At 39.8% G+C, this 24,003-nt stretch overlaps 1 protein-coding gene across 6 annotated transcripts in view, besides 3 other annotated features; it reads right to left on the reverse strand.

The window, feature by feature from the left end:
- SUN3 (Sad1 and UNC84 domain containing 3) overlaps positions 1-24,003 on the reverse strand; it is a 48,755-nt gene that overhangs the window by 842 nt on the left and 23,910 nt on the right. For 4 of the 6 annotated variants that reach the window (XM_017011930.2, NM_152782.4, NM_001030019.2 and 1 more), the window contains 6 exons: positions 21,046-21,086; positions 19,176-19,338; positions 17,980-18,064; positions 8,042-8,157; positions 6,326-6,493; positions 799-891 (listed from right to left, as the gene is read on the reverse strand). In XM_017011930.2, the coding sequence (XP_016867419.1) occupies positions 799-891; positions 6,326-6,493; positions 8,042-8,157; positions 17,980-18,064; positions 19,176-19,338; positions 21,046-21,086 (666 nt within the window). Of the gene's footprint in view, positions 1-798; positions 892-4,901; positions 5,084-6,325; positions 6,494-8,041; positions 8,158-17,979; positions 18,065-19,175; positions 19,339-21,045; positions 21,087-24,003 lie in introns of those variants that run through there. The other 2 variants (XM_047420114.1, XM_047420113.1) reach the window with 1 other exon arrangement.
- Positions 1,088-1,929: an enhancer, noted in NCBI's record as "OCT4-NANOG-H3K27ac hESC enhancer chr7:48028674-48029515 (GRCh37/hg19 assembly coordinates)". NCBI's record gives its function as "activates a minimal SCP1, AML or CMV promoter by ChIP-STARR-seq in primed H9 embryonic stem cells {active_cell/tissue: H9 hESC(primed)}" and the evidence as "EXISTENCE:reporter gene assay evidence [ECO:0000049][PMID:30033119]".
- Positions 1,930-2,770: an enhancer, noted in NCBI's record as "OCT4-NANOG-H3K27ac hESC enhancer chr7:48029516-48030356 (GRCh37/hg19 assembly coordinates)". NCBI's record gives its function as "activates a minimal SCP1, AML or CMV promoter by ChIP-STARR-seq in primed H9 embryonic stem cells {active_cell/tissue: H9 hESC(primed)}" and the evidence as "EXISTENCE:reporter gene assay evidence [ECO:0000049][PMID:30033119]".
- Positions 3,956-4,185: an enhancer, noted in NCBI's record as "active region_25986". NCBI's record gives its function as "activates an Ori minimal core promoter by ATAC-STARR-seq in GM12878 lymphoblastoid cells {active_cell/tissue: GM12878}" and the evidence as "EXISTENCE:reporter gene assay evidence [ECO:0000049][PMID:35858748]".

Here is a 24,003-nt window from a genome sequence, read left to right on the forward strand (position 1 = left end):
TCTACACTCCTTGCTGGCTGTGCCGAGGAGCAGGGGCAAGAGGGCTTGTTGTCTAAAAACCAGAACTATGAAGCCAACTATAAGAACAGATAATATGAGCCCAAATGCATATGAATACATAATCAAATATGAAGCTCTACAAATATGCTCATTTCTAACATATATGTATTGTTTTACCTTTATTTTCTCACTATTTGGCCAAAAAGTGTCATAAAACACTTGTTTTTACATGATATAAAATGTCTTCTACATCTCTTCAGTTACTCCCTGTGGCTAATTTAAAAAATGAGGATATATTTCATTTGCCTTGGTGAGTTTCAGGGGATTTATAAGCTAACAGTTGATATTTTCTCCCACTGGGTTAGGAGTTTTACTTGTATTATCTGATATTAAATCTTTATCCTCTATTCCTTTGAGCTTCTCTCTGCCTCTGTCCACTTCATATTGTACCATCATCTTCCTCCCCTATACTCAAGCAAGGTGAGGTAGTAACTATTACACTTAATAGTATTCAGGGAATGGAATAGTTAAGAAAGAACCAAGAAATTAAATATATATATTATAAAAAAGTGATAGCAGATGAGGAAGAATTTGACTTAGAAACTGCTTTTGCATTTGTCTGTCTTTTGCATTAAAATCCTCGTAAGCACTTCGAGCTCAGAATTGAAGATCAGATAAGCCTTGTGTAACTCACGCTTTTGTCATAATTATTCTCATACGTCACTTTACATGAAGCAATCCCAACAAATTTCTCCCAGTGATAGAGCTACTCATATCATTTCCCAGAGCATACATTACCTGGAGTTCAAATGTTTGAACGGTGGTTCCTGTTTTGTTATATATAAACTGACCTAGGAAAATTTCTTCTCCTTCACATTTTTTTGTGATGCCCTATAAAGAAAGCAACAGATATAGAGATTGTAATGAATGGATGCAGTTGTGTTTTCAAAAAGAACCAACAATTCACCAAATATCTCTGTGTGTCCACCAGGGGCACAGTGCTGTGATCATGCCAGTACTAACCTATACACCCAGAGGATATTTAACAAGGGGTCAATGAGGCCCAAGGCTGATCACGGGACTGACTAAAAGGATAGAAGATGGATGGACACACAGACAGATAGATAGATAGATAGAGAGCTAGATAGATAGATCCATAGATAGATAGTTAGAAGATAGATGATTGACAAACAGCTGATAGATGGAAGACAGATACATACATATAGAGCAAATCCCAACATTAACTTTGACCTGATAACTATATTTGCAATAAGCATACTTTGAATAAAATAAAAATGCGTCGCCATACTGAACTGATGTTTACCAAAATGAGATAAACATAAGCCCATTGCCAGATTTTGATCACACAAATAATTTCCTCTGAAAAGTAAGCTCCCGTTGACTGACAAAAACACTGATTTTTTTCTTTGTATGCAATTTCTCTTGTGCTTTTTGTTCTTCTCTACCCTTCAAATTGAAGATTTGTGAGAGGATAACGCACTGGTGCAAACTAATTTATTTTGTGAATCTGAAGTTTATTGTTAGGTTCCTTAAATTGTAACACAGCAAAATAAACAGTACATTCATTAAATCATTTTATAATAAAAATATTAATATCAAACTATAACATTTTTATTAAAAGAGTTGGATACATCATGGTTACATAATGTACTCACAATTATATATGTATGTGGGGAAAAGAGAGATCAGACTGTTACTGTCTCTACGTAGAAAGAAGTAGGCATAAGAGACTCCATTTTGTTCTGTACTAAGAAAAATTCTTCTACCTTGAGATGCTGTTAATTTGTAACCCTACCCCAACCCTGTGCTGGCTGAAACATGTGCTGTGTCAACTCAAGGTTAAATGGATTAAGGGCTGTGCAGGATGTGCTTTGTCAAACAAATGCTTGAAGGCAGCATGCTTGTTAAGTCATCACCACTCCCTACTCTCAAGTACCCAGGGACACAAAACACTGCGGAAGGCCGCAGGGACCTCTGTCTAGGAAAGCCAGGTATTGTCCAAGGTTTCTCCCCATGTGATAGTCTGAAATATGGCCTCACGGGAAGGGAAAGACCTGACCATCCCCCAGCCCGACACCCGTAAAGGGTCTGTGCTGAGGAGGATCAGTAAAAGAGGAAGGCCTCTTTGCAGCTGAGATCAGAGGAAGGCATCTGTCTCCTGCTCGTCCCTGGGCAATGGAATGTCTCGGTGTAAAACCCGATTGAATATCCCATCTCCTGAGATAGGAGAAAACCGCCTTAGGGCTGGAGGTAAGACATGCTGGCAGCAATATTGCTCTTTAAGGCATTGAGATGTTTATGTATATGCACATCAAAAGCACAGCACTTTTTTCTTTACCTTATGATGCAGAGACATTTGTTCACATGTTTTCCTGCTGACCCTCTCTCCACTATTACCCTATTGTCCTGCCACATCCCCCCTCTCCGAGAAACACCCCATAATGATCAATAAATACTAAGGGAACTCAGAGACTGGTGCCGGCGCGGGTCCTCCGTATGCTGAGCGCTGGTCCCCTGGGCCCACTCTTCTTTCTCTATACTTTGTCTCTTTGTCTCTTTCTTTTCTCAAGTCTCTCGTTCCACCTGACGAGAAACGCCCACAGGTGGGGAGGGGCAGGCCACCCCTTCATATGTACACATGACTCAAGCCTCATATATTCTCTTTAGCTTAAGACAGGAGTGCTAGTTTTATTTCTACCTCCTTTATCACCTTGTTGGGTTTTTTTAAGAAACAGGATCTGATGGAATACTATGCAGCCATAAAAAAGAACAAGATCGTGTCCTTTGCAGGGACATGGATGGAGCTGGAGGCCGTTATCCACAGCAAACTAACACAGGAACAGAAAAACAAATACTCTATGTTCTCACTTGTAAGTGGGAGCTAAATAATGAGAACACATGAACACAAAGCGGAGCAACAGACACTGAGATCTACTTGAGGGTGGGGGGTGGGAGGAGGGAGAGGAGCAGAGAAATACCTGTTGGGTATTACTACTTACCGCCTGTATAACAAACCTGCACATATACCTCTGAACCTAAAATAAAAGTTAAAATAAAAAACAAATAAACAACAAAACAAAACAAACCAAAAAAACGGGGTCTGGCCATGCTGCCCAGGCTGGCCTCGAATTCCTGGGCTCCAGTGATCCTCCTGCTTTAGCCTTTTAAGGAGCTGGGATCACAGGAGCAGATACTGCGCCCAGTCCTTTTATCACCTTGTTTTAATTTTACTTGGTTCATAAATTCTTTAATGTAGAAGAAAATGATGAGAAGCAGTTTTTATTACTAAAGGATTCCTGCCTTTGGGATTCACCCATAATTTGTCTAAATAATGAACGTGTTCACCTTTCTGAGATGGAACTTAGCTGCTCAAACTCAACTTTTCAGAGACACCACTTGCAGGTGGTGTGGGCTTCTATGAAAGGACAGCAGCCCTTTGTTTTGAAACTCCAGATATGGAATGTAGAGGCATTTGGGTGACATATAAGGCAGGCTGTTTAACCCAGGGCCCTCCTCCAGATGGGAAGATCATAATTGAAGGCATAAACCTATATAAGGCAAAAGTGGGAGTAGACAGTAAAACCAAAAAACAAAACAAAACAAAACAAAACAAACCCCAAAACAAACAAACAGAAAAACCAAAAAGTGAAGATGGCCAAATGGCGCCTGGAGAGAAAGAACACAAACTACTCGGGCTGTACGTGGACCCAGCAGCGCAGGACTTAAGCGGCAGGTTCCCAGGAAGGCCGGAGGAGGGTGTCCATGTGGGGAGCGTGTGGGTGAAAGCGTGAGGGGGAGTGTGGGGGAAAGGAGCCCAAATCTGCGGCTTAGCTAACAGTCATTTCAAAAAGCAGTTACAACGCCTCCACGCCCCTCCAGCCCCGCCTGGCCCAGCAGAGGGCTCTCTTCTTCCTCCCATCTCTAAGACCACTGCCGGCGCCGCCCCAGAACCGCCCACAAGAGCATGGCCTCTGCACAAAGTGGTGACCCCGCGGCCCTCCTCTCCCCAGCAGCTCATGGTGTGGTGGGCCAGGCTGGCACCTCCTGTGCACTGCAGGAGTCCTCTCAGGGTCAGCTCTCCTGATAGCACACTTGTGACTCCCGACGAAATGGCCCGACCAGATGATTCCCGCTGCAAACTCACGACGGATGAGCCCCACCGTGCGCGCAAAGCTTCCTGCCGGCTTTGCACCGCCTAGCAATTCATGTGACAAGCATCACAGACATGGGAGAAAAGTGTTGTACAGGAAACAGAGAGACGCTACCCGCAAGGGGGAAAAGTGGGGCTAGGAAATCCAGACCCGGAAGCGAGCAGAAGAAAATGAGACAAGCCTACAGTTAATATATTCAGAAGCATAAGAGAAGGTACTGCCTTCATAAAAGAAAAAAATATAGGCTCTAAAAAAGGGAATATGTATAGAAACAAGAAGTCTCAGAAAGTATAATCATGACAGCAGGAATGAAAATTTCCGTAGAGGGGTTAAAATGTGAATTGATATGATCTTCCAGAAGGTGGAACAAAAAGCAGAAAAGGGAAAGAAGAAACACTTTTTAAAAATAATAAATTAGACAGTAAGTTGAATCCTCAGGATGCATGAGTGAAATCCCACGACAACAGTTGTGCATCAGGCCTACCTAACAAGGCTGGAGCAAAATGCTGAGGGCGCCAGAGGGATATCTTGGGAAAAAAAAAAGAAAATAAATGAAAAGAAAGTGAAGGAAGGAATAAAGAAAGGAAGAAATTTATAAGTTATCTGATGTGAATCAACATAATGGGGGAATATTTGTACTTCTGAAGAAGAATTTGGGAAAGTTTTAGTAATAGGAATGCAGAAAACTAAGCAAATTAAAGAAAAATAGGCTGGGCACCAGTGGCTCACGTCTGTAATCCCAGCACTGTGGGAGGCCAAGGCGGGAGGATCCTGAGCCCTGGAGTTTGAGACCAGCCTGGGCAACATAATAAGACCCTTATCTCTACTAAAAAATTTAAAAAACAATCCCACGAGTTTGAAGTTGCAGTGAGCTGTGATTGTTCTCCAACCTGGGCAACAGAGCTGAGACCCTGTCTCAAGAAAAAAAAAATGTAAAGCAATTATTACACTCAGAAACATTTAAAAAAATGGAAGAAAGTAGTATTTAAGTACACTAAATAGCTCAACTGAGAGCTGTTTTGTTCACATAGTCACTGTGAAAACATTGAGTATTGCTTGAACAAAAAGATAATACAGTCTTCTAGCAGTGCCTCAAATGTTAAACCTACATTTACCATGCTATCTAGGAATTCCAGTCTTAGGTATACACCCAAGGAAAACAAAAACTCATGTCCACACAAAAACTTGTACATGAATGTTTGTTGAAGCATTATACATAATGACCAAAAAAATGAAAATAATTCAAATGTCCATCAACTGATGAATAGATAAATAAAATGTCATATATCCATACAATGAAATGTTATTCAGCAATAAAAAATAAATGAAATATTGAGACATACTACATCATAAATGAACCTTGAAAACAGTATGCAAAGTTAAAGAAGCCATTCACAAAAGATCACACATTATAAATGATTCAATTTATATGAAATGTATAGAATAGGTAAATTTATTGAGACAAAGTAGACCAGTGGTTGCCAGGGGCTGGAGGAGTACACTAGGGGAATAGGAGGTGACGGCTAAGGGGTATGGGGTTTCTTTTTAGGGTAAGAAAAATGTTCTAAAATTGATTATGGTGATGGATACACAACTCTGTGAATACACTAAAAGCCACTGAAGGGTGTACTTTAAATGGGTGAATTAATTGTTATGGGAATTACATCTCCAGAAACCTGTTTTGTTTTTTAAATTAAGACATAAATATTTTGGGAAGATGGAAGTGCCATGGAAAAGAGTTAATCTTCATTTTCAATGAGAGGATGTCATAATCAAAACTGAAAAATCAGGAAATAATGGCAAAAGCCAACATGGAGGCAAGTACCCAAATAAACATCTAAAATTGTTGCAAGTAGAAGCTTTGGGATAATGAGAATTGGAGATGTGGAGAAGTGGGACAAGGAATTACTGTTTCTTTACAAACTTTATGGAAATATTTGATTTTTACTTATACATGTATAACTTTGATAAAAGTAAAAATAATAATATAAATCATTTGGTCCAACTCTCTCTCTTTGTAGGTGAGAAAGCAGAAGTCCAGGAAATAAGTGACACAACTAGTTATCTGTCCTAGTTCAGAGGACAGCCCCTAATTCCTAGCCAACCACCTTCTATCAGGCCAATCTGAATGACAAATTTAGATAGCTTCTTACATAGACAGAAAATTCCTTGGGTGCACTGGAGATGTTTCCTGACGGAGACACCTTCTCTGAGATGTGCTCCATGGTAACAGCAGTTGGTATGATCTTTGTAGCAAGCTTGATTAGGGTATGACCCTGGGAACCTGGAAAAGCCCAGCACTTTCCAGGGTAGACATCCGGCTGGAAAGAAAACACTGAATTAATCTCTTAACTAGTTATGTGAATCCATTCCCACAATACTGGTCAGCTAATCACTATTGACTGCAGATCTCTCTTATGCCTATCAAATAGGAAAACTCCCAAGGCACCTCTAGTGTGGTTGTTCTTCCAGAGCACTGTATGCTTATATCAATCAGAGCCCTTTATCATATGAGCATGTTTTCTTTCATTGCTCTAACTAGACTGTAAGCTGTTATAAGGCAGCTAGAGGGCATGAGTGGTGGTGCTGGTAAGGCTAGTGATGGTGGTAGTGAGGATGATGATGGTGACCATTGTGATCATTGTGGTGATGATGGTGGTAATAATGGTGGCAGTGGAGGTGACAGTGATGGTGGTGGTGGTAGTGGTGATGGTGATTGCAATGGTGGTCATGGCAATGGTATCACCTAAAAAGGTGGTGGTAGAGGTAATGGTGATGGTAGTAATGGTAGTGGTGGTTGTAGTGATGGTGATAATTGAAGTGGTAGTGGTGATGGTGATTGCAATAGTGGTCATGGCAATGGTATCACCTAAAAAGGTGGTGGTAGAGGTAATGGTGATGGTAGTAATGGTAGTGGTGGTGATAGTGATGGTGATAATTGAAGTGGTAGTGGTGATGGTGGTGATGAAGGTAGTGGTGGTGGTGGCAGTGATGGTGGTGGTGGTGGTGACAGTGATAGTGGTGGTGGTGATGATGATGGACATGGGGGTGGTGATGAAGAAAGATGGTGAGGTGGTGGTGGTGGTGGCAGTGATGGTGGCTGTGGTGGCAGTGATGGTGGTGGCGGTGATGGTGATGGACATGGAGGTTGTGATGAAGAAAGATGGTGCTGGTGGTGGTGATGAAGATGAGGGTTTTGATGGAGATGGGGGTGGTGGTGGTGGTTATGGTGGTAGAGAAGAAAAATGAGGTCTACTACTTTGTAGATATAAACTACAGCCTGGAATAAGATCAGTGGGTTTTACCCCTGAAAGTTCTAAATTTGCAACTAACTTCAGGTGTATGGATCAAAGTTGAGAGGTGCTCTGCTGTCTATTGATGGCTACTGCCTTTAGACTGTAACTGAAAAGTTTGGTGGGGATCTTACTTGGAGATTTCTCCTGTTATAATTAGACTTAAGAACATGTGGTCTGAATAGCACTTAACATAGTACAGTACTGGCACTTAGGAGACAAGTACTTTCAACAAATGTTTGTTGAATGACTGAAGTTTTCAATGGAAAAGGATGGTCACAGAATCAACTTACAGAAAAGACATGGAATGTATATGTTTTACTTGAAAATAAAATAATCTAGTTTACTAATCTTAAAATGATAAATAAGTAAATAATTAATCATAGTTTACTGACCATAAAATAAGACATAATTCATGCAGTGTACTGACTATAAAAATATAATGAGATGATTTCAGATTCTGTGACAAGTTCAGACACTCTTATATTGCCTCCATTTTTAAAATTAACATTTTCATGATAAATAATAAGAACAAAATTCTAAAATAGAAATAAGTGATTCTTAATTTAGCTTTACCTGAAGAATAATATCTGGAGGCATTTCATGATTTAGGAAACCTATCCCATGCCAGTACAATTTTGCTTTATTATTTTTATAACTTTCTGAGGTCCCAGCTTCAATGATGGAGGCTCCTAAAATTATAAAGTAAGTTGTAAAATAAAGAAACAACATACACAATTCAAAACACATCATTTGAATTTTAACAATGTCTCTAGAAAATTATTACTGGGCAAATTATAAGCGAGGTAAAATTCATACTCAGGAATTGATAGGAAAAGTATGACAGTTTTCACTACCACTGAAATTTTGTCATTTTGAAGAAAACTAGTTTGTTCTGTTTAGTTTCACAAAATGTATGATTAAAAAAATTGAATTTTGAGGCAAGTAAATTAGAGATGAGAATATTATATGGATTCTGTATCACCTAAAAACGTATATAGATCTTTATATTTTAACAGCTCATGTGATAAATGAGACTTCCTGTCATTCCCATTCACTCAATAACAAAAAAAGCAGAAAACCAACAATGCTCCAAATGTCCTTCAAGTTACATTTGTAGCAATTATGCAGATTCATTGAACTCTATTTTAATCAAAGAAATATGAAATATACTCATCAAACATTATCCCTTCAGGTTACTTCATTTTAGAAGCAAAATGTATTTTATACAGAATAAATAAAGAAAATGCAAATTGCTTTTACAAATTGCATTTGCATAACACACCACAACACTAAAAATACATGTGCCTCATCAAATATCTGATTATCCTTACTTTTTCTTTCCTTCTTTTTTTTTTTTTTTTTTGAGACGGTGTCTCACTCTGTCGCCAGGCTGGAGTGCAGTGGTGGAATCTTGGCTCACTGCAACCTCCGCTGCCTGGGTTCAAGTGATTCTCCTGCCTCAGCCTCCCAAGTAGCTGGGACTACAGGCGCCCGCCACCACGCCGGCTAAGTTTTTGTATTTTTAGTAGAGACAGGGTTTCACCATGTTGGCCAGGATGGTCTCGATCTCTTGACCTAGTGATGTACCCACCTCGGCCTCCCAAAGTGCTGGGATTACAGGCGTGAGCCACCGCGCCCAGCTGATTATCTATACTTTTCCTAAGATGACACACTTTTTGAAATAGTAATTGAGTTCCTAGAGTTGCCAGATTTGGCAAATAAAAATAAAAGACAGCCATTTAAATTTGAATTTCAGGTAAACAAAGAATAATTTTTTTAGTAGTAGTCATGTCCCATACAATATTTGGGATATATTTATACTAAAAGATTATTTGCTATTTGTCTGAAATTTAAATTTAACTGGGCTCCCTTCATTTTATCTGGAAACCCTATGTGTACTTCGTTTTTGAAGGCTAATTCTGACTGCCCGCTCACTATTCCTACTCGACCAACTGGCTGGACAGAATCTACACTTTCACCTGCTAATGTGGGGACTGAATACCCCATCCCCATAATCCTTTCCAGAAAAAAATTAAAATTTTAGTGTGGTGGAATTTTGAAAATAATTCATATTTATTCATTTTCTCATTCATTAAAAGATTTAAATCAGCTTTATTAAGATATAATTCACATCCTATACAATTCACTCATTTACAGTGTATGATTCAGGGTTTTGTATTATATTCTTAGAGTTGCACGGCCACCACAATCAATTTTAGAACATTTAGTCAACCCCAAAAGGAACCCATAGTGGTTAGCTGTCATTCCCCATTTCCCTCAACCTCTCTCCCCAAGCCTTGGCAATTATTAATCTATTTTCTGTCCCTGTAGATTACCTATTCTGGACATTTCTTTTGCTGCTCCCTTGTAGTCAGTCACAGTATGTAGCCTTTTCACTAAGGCTACTTTCATTTAGCCAATGCATTTGAGATTTATGAATGTTGGAATGAGTATCAGAAGTTCCTTCCTTTTATTGACTGCAGGTTGATATTCCACTGTATGAATGCATCCGTTAGTCTTTGTTGATGGACATGGGGTTATTCTCAATTTTGGTGATGATGAATACAGTTGCTATAGACATTCTTGGCAAGTTTTGATGTGAACATGTTTCAATTTATCTTAGATAAATGTATAGAAGTGGGATTGCTAGGTCAATAAGGTGTTATATTGAACTTCATAAGAAATTGTCAAACTTTGCCAGAGTGGCTGTGCCATGTTACATTCTCACCCACAGTGTATGAGAGGTCCATTTTGTTCATGCGGTTGCCAGCACTTAGTATGGTCGGTTTTGTTTTGTTTGGCATTCTAATCGGTGTGTAATGATATAACATTGAGGTTTTGACATTTCACTAATGAATAATTAATGTAAGGCATTTTTTCATATACTTTTTTGACATGCATTTATCTTCTTTAATGAAGTGTCTTCCAAACCTTTTGCCTATTTTTTATCTGGTTGTCTGTTTGCTTAATTGAAGCTTGACAGTTTTTTATAAATTCTGGATTCAAGAATGTGTGTGGTTTCCAAATATTCTCCCCTAGCCTGTAACTTGTCTTTTCATTCTCGTAACTGTTTTTTTGGCAGAGTAGAAATTAATTTTGTTGAAGCCCATATTATCCATTATTTTCCTTTTACAATCATAGTTTTTGATGTTGTGTTTAAGAAAACTTTTTCTAACTCTAAAAAATTTCGCTTATTTTTTTTTCTAGCTTTAAGCTTTATATTTAAGACTGTGACCCATTTGGGGTTAATTTTTATAGATTGTGGGTTTTGGGCCAAGGCTTTTTTTTATTTTTGCATATGAATGTCCACCTGTTCCAGCACCACTGACTTGCCTTTTTTCCTTTTTCAAAAATCTATTCACCACAGGTGTGAACTACTTCTAGACTTTTTGTATTGTTCCATTGATTTCACGAGTACCACATGCTCTTGATTACTGTAAACTTATAGTAAGCCTTAAAATTAGGTAGTGTGAGTTCTCCAACTTTGTCTCTTTTTTTCCCAAAACAAATTTGACTCTTCTAGTTCCTTCACCATTCCACATACATTTTGAAAATGGTTGTCAATTTCTACAAATAATCCTGCTGGGATTTTAATTAGGATTATATTAAATCCATAGAAAAGTTGGACAGTATTGTCATCTTAATGGTATTGAGTCTTCTAATCCATAAACATGGTATACTTGTCCATTTATTTAAATCTTTTTTATTTATTTCATTATTGTTTTTTAGTTTTTAGCTCTCAGTTCCCACATTTTGTTAGTCTTACACCTAAGTATTTTATGTTTTTTACTGCATTTATGAATAGAGCTGCTTTTAAATAGTCTCTAATTTTCTATTATTAGTATATAGAAATTGTATATATACCCTTGAACTTGTAAACCTCACTTACTCTGGTAGATTTTTTTGGTGGTTTTTCTACATAAGCAATCATGTTGTCTCTGAATAGAGCCATTTTTTTCCTTTCTAATTTGCATGCCTTTTCCCCTATCCTCTGCCTTTCGTACTCTCTTTCTCTCCCAGTTTTTCTTCATTTCCCTTTCCTGCCTTTTTTTAAATATTAGTTGAAATTTTTTATTTATTTTTTATTTCTTTTGAAACTGAGTCTTGCTCTGGGGCCCAGGCTGGAGTGCAATGACGCAATCTCAGCTCACTGCAATTTCCGCCTCGCCTTGCAGGTTCAAGCGATTCTCCTGCCTCAGCCTCCTGAGTAGCAGGATTACAGGCGTGCGCCACCGCGCCTGGCTGTTTTGTATTTTTAGTACAGCCGGGGTTTCACCAGGTTGGCCAGGCTGGTCTCGAACTCCTGACCTCAATTGATCCGCCTGCCTTGGCCTCCCAAAGTGCCAGGATTATAGGCGTGAGCCACTGTGCCTGGCCTCCATTTTGATTTCTCCATTAGCTTTTGGATATCTCTGTATTTTTAAGTAATTGTTCTCATGATTACAACGCACGTACCTAGCAGCTCATAGTTTATTTGAGTTAACTTTTTATCATTCATATAAAATCTTTACATTTATAGATGTCCATTAAATCTCACCCACTGACTTTTCCTTTATGGTTGTCATAGAATTAAATCTACATATATTAGCCCTCCACGCCCAGACAATGCCATACATTTTTTCCTTTCAACAGCCATACATATTTTAAAGTACTTAAAGAAAGAAAATTACCTCATCTTTTGTTGTTGTTGTTGTTTTGAGATGGAGTTTCGCTCTCGTCACCCAGGCTGGAGAGCAGTGGCGTGATCTCCGCTCACTGCAACCTCCGCATCCTGGGTTGAAGCTATTCTCCTGCCTCAGCCTCCGGAGTAGCTGGAATTACAGGCATGCGCCACCACGCCCCGCTAATGTTTCTATTTTTAGTAGAGACAGGATTTCACCATGTTGGCCAGGCTAGTCTGGAACTCCTGACCTCAGGTGATCCACCCGCCTCGGCCTCCCAAAGTGCTGGAATTACAAGGCATGAGCCACTGTGCCGGGCCACCTCATCTTTACTCACAGATGAGGCTGTTGCTCTTTCTTCATTCTTTAAGTCCCGAGTTTCTTTTTGGTGTCATTTCTATTGAGCTGAAGAACTTCCTTTAGCAGATTCAGTGGCAGATAATTTTCTTAGTTTTTCTCCATCTAAATGTCTTCATTTTGCCTTCATTCCTGAAAGATATTTTCACTGGATCTACAATTCTGCATTGCTAGATCCTTTCCTTCAGCACTTTAAACATGTCGTTTCCTTCTCTTCTGGTCTCTTTAACTTCTGGTAAGAAATCTGTAATAATGTGTAGTTTTTTTTTAGCTTCTTTCAAGTATTTTCATCTTTGATTTTGAGCAATTTAACTATGATGTGTCTGGATGTCATTTTCCTTGAATTTATCTTCTTTCTGATTTGCCATGCTTTTTGAGTCTGTAAATTTATGGTTTTTTTTTTTTAAATCGAGTTTGAGATGTTTTTAGCTATTACGTCTTTAGATACATTGGTCTCTTCTTCATCTCCCTCTGAGACTACAAGGATAAGAATATTATACCTTTTTATAGTGTCCTATAGGTTTCTGAAGTTCTGTTTGCATTTTTTTCAAACATTTTTTCATTCTTTGAATTGCATAATTTCTTTTGATCTATCTTCAACTTCACTACTTCTTTATTTTTAATTTTTAAGTTCGGGGTACATGTGCAGGTTTGTTACACAGAAAAACTTGTGTCATGGGGATTTGTTGTACAGATTATTTTGTCACCCAGGTGTTAAGCCTAGTATCCATTAGTTATTTTTCCTGATCCTCTCCCTTCTCTCACCCTCCATCCTCCAATAGGCCCCAGTGTGTGTTGTTCCCCTCTATGTGTTTATGTGTTCTCATCATTTAGCTCCCACTTATAAGTGAGAACATGTGTTTTTGGTTTTCTATTCCTGTGTTAGTTTGCTAAGGATAATGGCCTCCAGCTCCATCCATGTCCCTGCAAAGGACATGATCTTGTTCTTTTTTGTGGCTGCATAGTATTCCATAGTGTATATGTATGACATTTTCTTTATCCAGTCTATCATTGATCAGCATTTAGGTTGGTTCCATGTCTTTTCTGTTTTTTTTGTTTTTTTTTTTTTTTTTTTTGAGACAGAGTCTCGCTCTGTTGCCCAGGCTGGAGTGCAGTGATGCAATCTTGGCTCACTGCAAGCTCCGCCTCCCAGGTTCACACCATTCTCCTGCCTCAGCCTCCTGAGTAGCTGGGACTACAGGTGCCCGCCACCACGCCCAGCTAATTTTTCTTTGTATTTTTAGTAGAGACAGGGTTTCACCGCGTTAGCCAGGATGGTCTCGATCTCCTGACCTTGTGATCTGCCCGCCTCGGCCTCCCAAAGTGCTGGGATTACAGGCGTGAGCCACCGTGCCTGGCCAGTTCCATGTCTTTTCTATTGTGAATAGTGCTGCAGTGAACACATGCATGCATATATCTTTATAACACAACAATTTACATTCCTCTGGATATCCCAGTAATGGGTTTGCTGGTTCAAATGGTATTTTTGTCTTTAGGTCTTTGAGGAATCACTGTCTTTCACAGTGGTTGAAATAATTTACACTGCCACCAACAGTGTATAACCATTCCTTTTTCTCCACAACCTTGCCTGTATCTGTTAGTTTTTGACTTTTTGATAATAGCCATTCTGAATGGTGTGAGATGGTATCTCATTGTGGTTTTGATTTGCATTTCTCTTTTTTTTTTTTTTTTTTTTTTTTTTGAGACGGAGTCTCGCTCTGTCGCCCAGGCTGGAGTGCAGTGGCGCGATCTCGGCTCACTGCAAGCTCCGCCTCCCGGGTTCACGCTATTCTCCTGCCTCAGCCTCCCGAGTAGCTGGGACCACAGGCGCCCGCACCACGCCCGGCTAATTTTTTGTATTTTTAGTAGAGATGGGGTTTCACCGTTTTAGCCAGGATGGTCTCGATCTCCTGACCTCGTGATCCACCCGCCTCGGCCTCCCAAAGTGCTGGGATTACAGGCGTGAGCCACCGCGCCCGGCCTTGATTTGCATTTCTCTAATGATCAGTGACGTCGAGATTTTTTTCAAATGATTCTTGGCCACATGTGGGTCTTCTTTTTAAGTGTCTGTTCATGTCCTTTGCCCACTTTTTAATGGGGTTGTTTTGTTTTCTTGTAAATTTGTGTAAGTTCCTTATAAATGCTGGATATTAGACCATTGTTGGTTGCAGAGTTTGCAAAAATTCCCTTCCATTCTGTAGGTTGTCTGTTTACTCCATTGATAGTTTCTTTTTCTGTGCAGCAGCTCTTTAGTTTAATTAGATCCCGTTTGCCAATTCTTACTTTTGTTGCAATTGCTTTTGATGTCTTTGTCGTGATATCTTTGCCCATGCCTATGTCCTGAATGGTACATACAACTTTCAGGCTGAGACTATGGGGTTTTCTAAATATAGGATTATGTTGTCTGCAAACAGGGATAGTTTGACTTCCTCTCTTCCTATTTGGATGCGCTTTATTTCTTTCTTTTGCCTAATTGCCCTGGCCAGAACTTCTAATACTGTGTTGAATAGGAGTGACTTCATAGGCAATACCTAGGTTGTCTTCCAGGGTTTTCTTTTTTTTTTTGTAGTTTTGGCTTTTACATTTAAGTCTATATTCCATTTCAAGTTAATTTTTGTATATGGTATATGGAAGGGGTCCAATTTCAGTCTTCTGCATATGGCTAGCCAGTTATTCCAGCACCATTTATTGAATAGGAATACTTTCTGCAATGTTTGTTTTTGTTAGATTGGTAGAAGATTAGATAGTTGTAAGTGTGTGGCCTTATTTCTGGGTTCTCTATTCTGTTCCATTGGTCTATGTGCCTGTTTTTGTACCAGTACCATGCTGTTTTGGTTACTGTAGCCCTGTAGTATAGTTTGAAGTTGGGTAACATGATGCCTCCAGCTTTGTTCTTTTTGCTTAGGATTGCCCTTGCTATTTTTGGTTTCATATGAATTTTAAAATAGTTTTATCTAGTTCTGTGAAGAAGGTCAATGGTAGTTTAATAAGAATAGCATTGGATCTATAAATTACTTTAGGCAGTATGGGCATTTTAGTGATATTGATTCTTTCTATCCATGAGCATGAGATGTTTTTCCATTTGTTTATGTCATCTCTGATTTCTTTAAGCAATGGTTTATAGTTCTTTTTGTAGAGATCTTTCACCTCCAAAATTAGCTGTATTCGTAGGTATTTTATTCTTTTTGTGGCAATTGTGAATGGGAGTTCGTTACTGATTTGGCTCTTGGCTTGACTTTTGTTGGTGTATAGAATGCTAGTGATTTTTGCACATTGATTTTGCATCCTGAGACTTTGCTGAAGTTGTTTATCAGCTTAAGAAGCTTTCGGGCTGAGACTATGGGGTTTTCTAGATATAGGATTATGTTGTCTGCAAACAGGGATAGTTTGACTTCCTCTCTTCCTATTTGGATGCCCTTTATTTATTTCTCTTGCCTGATTGCCCTGGAGAGGACTTCTAATACTGTGTTGAATATGAGTGACTTCACTCCTTTTTTTCTCTGTTTTTGTTTTTCTATCATTAAGCATATATAGTCAATATTTATTTTAGATATCGTATTTTTCAGTTCTAAAATTCCATCTGGTTCTTTTTATTCTCTTGGCTGAGAACTGGTATCTTTTCATTCATTTCAAGTGTACTTACTTTCACCTCATAAAGCATAATTATGCTAGCTGCTTCAAGTCTTTGTGTGACAATTCCAACATCTGTGTCATGACGGGGTTGGCATCTGTTGTCTTTTCCCTTGGGAGTTGGTCTTATTTCCGTAGGAGTTTGCATGCCAAGTAATTGTGATTTGTACCCTAGACATACTGAATATTATACTGTAAGACTCTGAGCCCTATTACTGTCCACTAGGGAATGCTTTTATTTGCTTCATCAATCAACCAAGAAATGTCAGTCCTCCTTCCTTTTATGAGTGGTGGTTCCAATCTCAATTCAGTCCTCAAAACCTTTACTACAGGCCTGTCATGTCCATGTACCACTCAGGGGTTAGTCCAAGACTTGAGCCACAGTTTACATCATTGCCAAATTCTCAAAGCCTCCACTTTGCTGTTTTGGGTCTGTTCCCATGAATGGGCAGCTGAGAGGTGAGGCCAGAAGCTGGCCGCAAACAGACAGGGGAGCAGGCGTCTTCTCTGCAGCTTTGCCTTCCAGGCTTTCTGCCCACACTCTCTGGCCCACAGGACTACTTTATTCTGCGATTTTGGCTAGAAAAATTGGGCTTCTTTCACAGATTTAGCTGCCTACCTTGCTGCCACGTTTGCAGCTCTGTAATTGCTGCCTGCCTCAGCCTAGGCTGCAAGAGAAAAGAAAAGAAAAAAGGAAACTCCCACAAGGCTCACATCTGCAGTTTTTGGTTCCCCTCTACCAACTGCCTGCTTTGTTTACTTTTTAGCCCACTCACGTAGTTGCTTTTTGAATTTTGTCCGGATTTTTTCTCATTGTAATCAGTTGGAAGAGACTTAACAGGCTTTCTCTATCTTGGCCAAACCAGAGCTGACATTTGTTTCCACATCTATGGCTACAGAGAAGCCCGAGCATTTCCTTCTTTTCCTCACTCTGCATGTGCTACTCTTGCACCTACATTCGTCATCATAGGCTTTTCAAAATGGAAGTTGTAAATACATCAATTGATATAAATGCATCAATACAAAAAAGAAAGCATTAAAAAAGTGTATCAGAATGCCAAGACCAAAACAAACAAACAACCAAAAAATCCCAACTATGGTTCGTCTCCCATCTTGTCCCCAACACTCATGCTTTAGGGAATCAGGTTTGGGAAAGTTCTGCCCTCTAACTCACTCTCTGAAAAACACATGCTCACAAGACTGAGTAATCATGCTGTTCCAAATGCTCTCCAGTTCATGCAAGCTGGAAATTTATTTCCCTGGCGTAAATTTGACTATCAATTGATTAAAATTAGCATTACTATGTGTTTTATATTTCCATTCTCCTTCTGTCCCTTTCTTCTTTCCTCCCACATTGTTCACTGAACACATATTGTCCATAGACTATTATAGGCAGGGCATGGTAGATAAGATTAAGGTTAATGATTCATAGCCTTAACCCTTAATAATTAATTTTAATTGGAAGATATTAGGAACATTATATATAACCTTTAAACACTGTCATTTAATCCCTAATAATGCATTTAGATTGGTGATCATAAGTAATTTTAGTATATAATAATACAAAATGTCCTAATATTTTGTGCCTTCCACAACTTCACTGTGGCATCTTGGCTTTCTTGGTGGTTCTTTTAGATGCATGTTAATGAAGTTGCACAGGCTTTTTTCCCTGGAACATTTGCACTCAGCAATCAGTAGTGACAACTATTTCTACTCTCTTCTTTATTATCTAAATTGATTAATTTCCCCCCCCCAAGTTACCAGATAAATATGTTTTCCTCATAAACAAATGTAGAGAATAGGGACATTCCTGAAGCATTCTTTTTTTTTTAATGTTCCTCTTTTCACTTTTTCTGTACTCACCGGCCGACTTCAGGGCATAATCAGCCATCTCGACTTGGTCTTCTCTCAACTTTTTAAGTACATAATTGACCAAGTTTGACACTTCCTGTAGAAATTTTATAAACAGTTTTCTGTTAACAATCTTTGCCAACTGCTTGAGTTTTGACCATTCATTTTATTGATTTGGACCTAATTTGCAAAATTAGAATAGCAGTGAGCCCCTATCAGCTGCACTCTGAGCCAGGCCCTGTTCATGGATCTGGACTGACACCTTCACAGCTCTTGGGAGTGTCATTTTCAGGAATACGGTGTAAATAAAGCCAAGGTGTGTTCAGGGACTCCCACAAGGTCACACAGCACCGTGGACCTAGGGTCTCTTCTGAAGCCCTAACCACTGGCATCACAGTGCTCTCCCGGTGAGGTGCTGTGACCTACTGTGTTCTGTCCCTCATTAGTGTCCTGTGGTTAGCAGTAAAGACTTGAACATTCTAGAGTTATTTGGGAATCAAGGCAGTTTACACAGACTACATGATTGCTTATATTAGACATTTTTCACCCAGTCTAATTAATATTGGATTCTGAAGGCTGCTCTCATTCTAAAAAACGAACAAACAAACAAAACCAAAAGCACCCTAAGCAGGCGTAACAGTTCAAGTTCAAGCTGCCTAAACGTAACACCTTCACAGTGACAAGGATGAAATGGGGTCTGGAGGGCGGCAGGTGGTCCATGTCAGATTGCTGCGCATTTCAAAAAGTAGACATTAGGGAAGAAAAAGAAGGTAGTAATGACAGCGGAAGAGAAAGAAGCAAAATAGAGCTTGTGGTTTCCAACACAGTTTTGCCTGAATCTGATGCTGTCTAGACTAACTACATTAGCTATGAAGATGATGAATGCAAATCTTTTGCTATTTAAGGTATTTGTGTATAGAGCTCAGAGACTGTTATTTCTTTCTTTCTTTCTTTCTTTTACTGGAAAATAGAACAGTTATTTATTTTGGTGTGAAGTAAGTCATATGCAATAGAATGTCTTCTCTGTGACACAGCATTTATGAAACACTGGGTTTCTGTACACAAACCAAATATCAGTCAACACTGGACTTCCCACTGGGAGAAGAAGCAGATGTGACATCGGAAGGACATACTCACTCCCCGTCACCCTGGACATCCGCGCTAACCACCACCCCACCCTGCCCAACCCGCCTAGCCTCATCCAGGACCTCTGTGTGGTCCGGGTCCTCCACAGGGTCTCCATGGGTGTTCCAGTTGTGATTATTGTCCATACCATCCTTCATATCTCTTAGCAATGCCTTCAGGACATCTATTTGTTCGATCAAAAATAGAATTTGACGAAAATTGTTTTCCAGATTCTGGCTTTCCTTCCTGTAAAGGGAAAATCTCAGCATGAGAGGAAGAAAGTGTAAAGCTCCTGTTATCAGCTGTTGCTGGGCTCCACCCGCCATGTGATGAGGTGCTTTATATTGTTGAAGATATACATTCTTGAGTGAGGGAAGAGCAGAGCATGCCCATTTCTCTAAAGCATCACGCTTCACTAAAAAAAAAACAAGGACATCCAGGGGTCACATGGCTGAGGGTGTCCTACTGCTTGACCGGGCTCTGCATGGGGCAGGCAAGGCTCAATCAATCTTGCTGGTCCCCCAGCTGGGTAACGTCACACAGGTGAATCCTAAATCCCACTGTTACCTTTCCAATTGGGAACACCTTGCATTTCCGGTGTAGTACAGAGCAGTGGCTTTCGAATTGTAGCCTGAGTTCAGTGGAAGTGCCTTGGGCAAGGGGTGCTGGTGGATCCAGCCAGTGGGCAGTGACTGGTTACCAGTTTGACAGCCTGAGCATGCAAGATTTTACTTCCCAAGAATGTTTTTTTTTTTTTTTTGAGATGGAGTCTCACTCTGTCCCCCAGGCTGGAGTGCAGTGGCGTGATCTCGGCTCACTGCAACCTCCGCCTCCCGGGTTCAAGTGATTCTCTTGCCTCAGCCTCCCCAGCAGCTAGGATAACAGGCACATGCCACCGCGCTCGGCTAATTTTTGTATTTTTAGTAGAGACAAGGTTTCACCATGTTGACCAGACTGGTCTCAAACTCCTGACCTCAAGTGATCCACCCGCCTCGGCCACCCAAAGTGCTGGGATTACAGGCGTGAGCCACCACGCCCGGCCAAGAATGGGTTTTCTATGTTTACAGTTTGAAAATTACTAGTAGAGAGAAAAAGAAAATGTCAAGCGAATAGGTATTTCTTTATGCTGAAAAAGTATAAGCACTACTTATCTGGTATTTTTCCCCATTTGTAAATCAATACATGTTTGAATTCGGGAAAAAACCAAGCATTTAGAAGAAATAAACACTGTTAAATTTTAATGACTTTCTACCAGTTTTTATTCCATGCAAAAAATTGGTAAGAAAATAGAAATAATATTTATAATTTTGTGTCTCCACTACACTTCCAAATCATTAAAAACTATTTTAAAATTATTTAAATGGCTTTATAATTCTTCATTTCATGAATATATTCCAATGTATTTAACCATTGGCCTAATTTTCTTATAGGGTTATTTTCCATTTTTAGTTATCATAAATGACATGGAAAGCACACCTCAGTGTGTATTTTGTCAAGGAATGCTCCATAGAAGTAGAAATATGTAAAAGGACAAGTAATTTTCTAAAGTACTACAAATGTTACTGTTTGGTGTTTAAAATTTTAAATTATGTATATGCACAAGTGAGAGGAGGCAATTTTTATTTTGTTGTTTCCTTCTTTTGATAAATCCAAGTAACAATAAATGTACTATTTTTAATACTAAATACAGCATGGGTAGATTAAGTCACCTCTAACCCTTTAATCTTTTCTATCTCCTTTTTTTCTTTTTCTTCCTCCTTTCTTTCCATCTGCATATATACATAGAGAAATGCTAGGAATGATATCATTAAATATTAATAATAGTTATTTCTGGGAGTGAAATTTTGAGTTATTTCAGGGAGTAACTTTTCTTTCTTATACTTTTCTGTACGAAAACATTTCAGTATTTGAAACCACACCAAAAAGAGGCATATAGCAAAAGATCGCACTCACTTTAAAAGTTCCAGTTGCTCTTTAGGCATACGAAGTCTGGCCTGAAAACAACAGAAAAAGATAAATCATTCTGAATTCTGCTTATTCAAATAGAGTCTTTTTTTTTTCTCAGAAAAGGGAAATAAATAGCACATTGACTCCTGATATACAGATGTGCTGGCTGGAACTCAGGAGCGTCCTCTGAGAGGCCCGCCTCTTTCCTAGCCTCACCTGTACATCATGAATGTATTTGAAGGAGATGAGGTAATGCAAATCTATTTAATGAGTGACATTCAACAGGAGCTCTTGGATGGGCACATCATTTCCTATTTCTTAAGACTGTAAAGGCCTGAACACAGTCTGAGAGGGAGGTTGGAAGAGGAAAAAATAGAGGGAAGAGGAAGAGAGGGAAGGGAAGACAAGCGGGAGAGGCGCCCCTGGTGGATGTGGAAAAACCTAAGGAGCACATGGCGACGTTAGAGGACCATGCTGAGCTCTTTGGGCTTGTCCCTGAATAAGGAGGGGGACTCCCACTTACAAATAAGAAAGGGATGTGATTACTTTTGGGCTAGATTGGCAATCACAATCAGAAAATTGCAGAAATTTATCTAACACTGGTGTCATGTCTGGTATAGATAGTCTCTGGTATGGACGGTCTTGGTGGTGCCCAAACCAAGACAAGAAACCAGGAAAAGGTAAAGTTACTGTTTGGACACAACATGTGGCTTCAGAGGACTTTCTGCTATGGAGGTGGTCAGTGAAAACATAAACACTGGGAAGATAGAGCATGCTGGAGTGCAGGCAGCACTCTGGTCTGCAGTACCGGGCTACTGTGCTGCCTGTTCCTCACCTGGAATGGGGGAATGGCCTAGCTGCATCCTCCTGTCACTGAGAAGAACTTGGGTCTGGGTGGCCAGCACCTCTATGTCCCTTAGCTCATCCTGCTGTGTGTCTTCCGGGCCCTGCCACAGATGACGGTGGTTGGGTGCTCACATTTCAAATGCCCTACAAGTCATTAGCCTGGGAGCCTCCAAAGCCCTGCACTCTCTTCCCGTCTGTCTTTACCCAGCATGAGACACACACACACAAACACACACACTCCACATACACATGCTTATACACACGTATGCACATGCTCATAGGCACACATGCATACTCACATATGCACACATGCACAGCCCCTATTCCAACATGGGATGGTTGGAGAAGGTCAATAATATTACCAACAGAGAAAGGAGGGCAAAAGAGAGCACCTTGGGGCACCAATCTTGAAGGGCTCAGAAGCCAACAACTGAGTGGACAAGCTGGTAAGAAGGGGAGGACAAGTGTGAAAGGGTGATCTCTTCCCCAGAGGATTCCAGGAAAAATAGTCAACAATGCCCATCGAGGGATGGCTCCTGACATCCTTTCTTTACATCTGGAACTCCCCTACCCTGACATGTTTTACTCAAGTGGTTTATCAATTAAGAGGCAGTATCTTTGACTATGTGCCAAGAAAATAATGTAGATCAGAGTGGAGGAATGATCAAGTGTGAAAACGAAGGCCGACCCAAGCAATCAATTCCCTTGGGTTTAAACTTAAATCTTGGAGGATTCCCGCAGCAGTCTCCAGAAATTTGTCTCATCCACATACTCTCCCTGCCAGGTTGGGAAGCAGACACCTCTGCCTTTAAGGATCACTTTCTTGTAGCAACAAAGCTCACACTTCAGGCACCCAACAGAGAACTCAAAGGGACCCTATGAGTTTCCTGGGGCTCTTGACACACATGACCACAAACGGGGTGGTTTGAAACAATGGAAATTTATTCTGTCGCTGTTCTGGAGGTCAAAAGTGTAAGGTCAACGTGTCCACATGTTTACACTCCTCTGAAGGTCCTCAGGGAGATTCTGTTTCTTGCCTTTTCTAACTTCTGGTGGCTCTGGGCATTCCTAGGCTTGTGGCTGCATCACTCCAGTCTCTGCCTCTGCCTTTACGTGGTCTCTTCTTCTCCTCTCTGTGTCTCTCTCCTCTGTAAGTCTCCTAAAGAGATCCCTGTCATTGTATTTAGGACCCATCTGAGTAATCTAGGACGATTTGATCTCAAGAAACTTAATTACATCTGCAAATACCTTTTTCCCAAATAAAGGTCACATTCACAGTTTCTTGGGGTCAGGAGGTAGACATATCTTTTTGGGAATCACCTTTCAACCTCCTACAGTGACCATCAATGTGCTATCTGGGAAATAGTGCTCCATCTTTACCCAGTAATTAGCTTGCTTTTCTGTTACAAAGACTGGCTTTTTATCAGTTAGCTCTGCCCAAAATAGTGCTATACTATAAATGTGTTGTGTCTTGTGCGATGTTATTCTGTCATGTGTGATAATGATGTCAGAATGGAATGTAGTGTGGCACATAGAAAAATATTGCCTTGCTTTTGTTCTGAACAATTACACTTCTTATACGTTCTCCTCAACATTTTTATTTTGACAAGGATGTGAATTTGGGAGCTTATCATTGGTAGATAGAGATTCTCACTTCTAGTTTTTCACATTCTGTTTGAGCAACTTCCCTGTCAGTAGGAGCAGTGTTTTCAATTTGTTTCTTTTTTCTGTTCTAGCCTTAAAATAACATACAGAAAATACTCCTCAATTAATTTGCTGATAAATGAACTTGAGAGTTCCATGAAAAATAAAATATTTCACAATTTTAAAAACATTTTTATTTTGCTTCATTCCCAAAAGCATTTCAGGCAAGTTCTACTATAGGAACTTGTATAGTATAAGAACATGTAGGACAAAACAGTAAGTAAGGAAGTGAAAGTGAAGATAAAATAAAGATTGGAAAAGTAAGATAATGCGAGAAGGATGAAGTTGGAACCTACTCGTGCCTGAAATTCTTGAAAGTTATTAGCTGTGGGCTATAAATTTGTTTCAGAGCATCACAGCAACCAAATGGGTGGGAGAGGGGGCAGGCCAATGGCCAAAATTTACCACATCCAC

Source organism: Homo sapiens, chromosome 7, assembly GCF_000001405.40.
Source record: "Homo sapiens chromosome 7, GRCh38.p14 Primary Assembly".
Taxonomy (NCBI): Eukaryota; Metazoa; Chordata; class Mammalia; order Primates; family Hominidae; genus Homo; species Homo sapiens.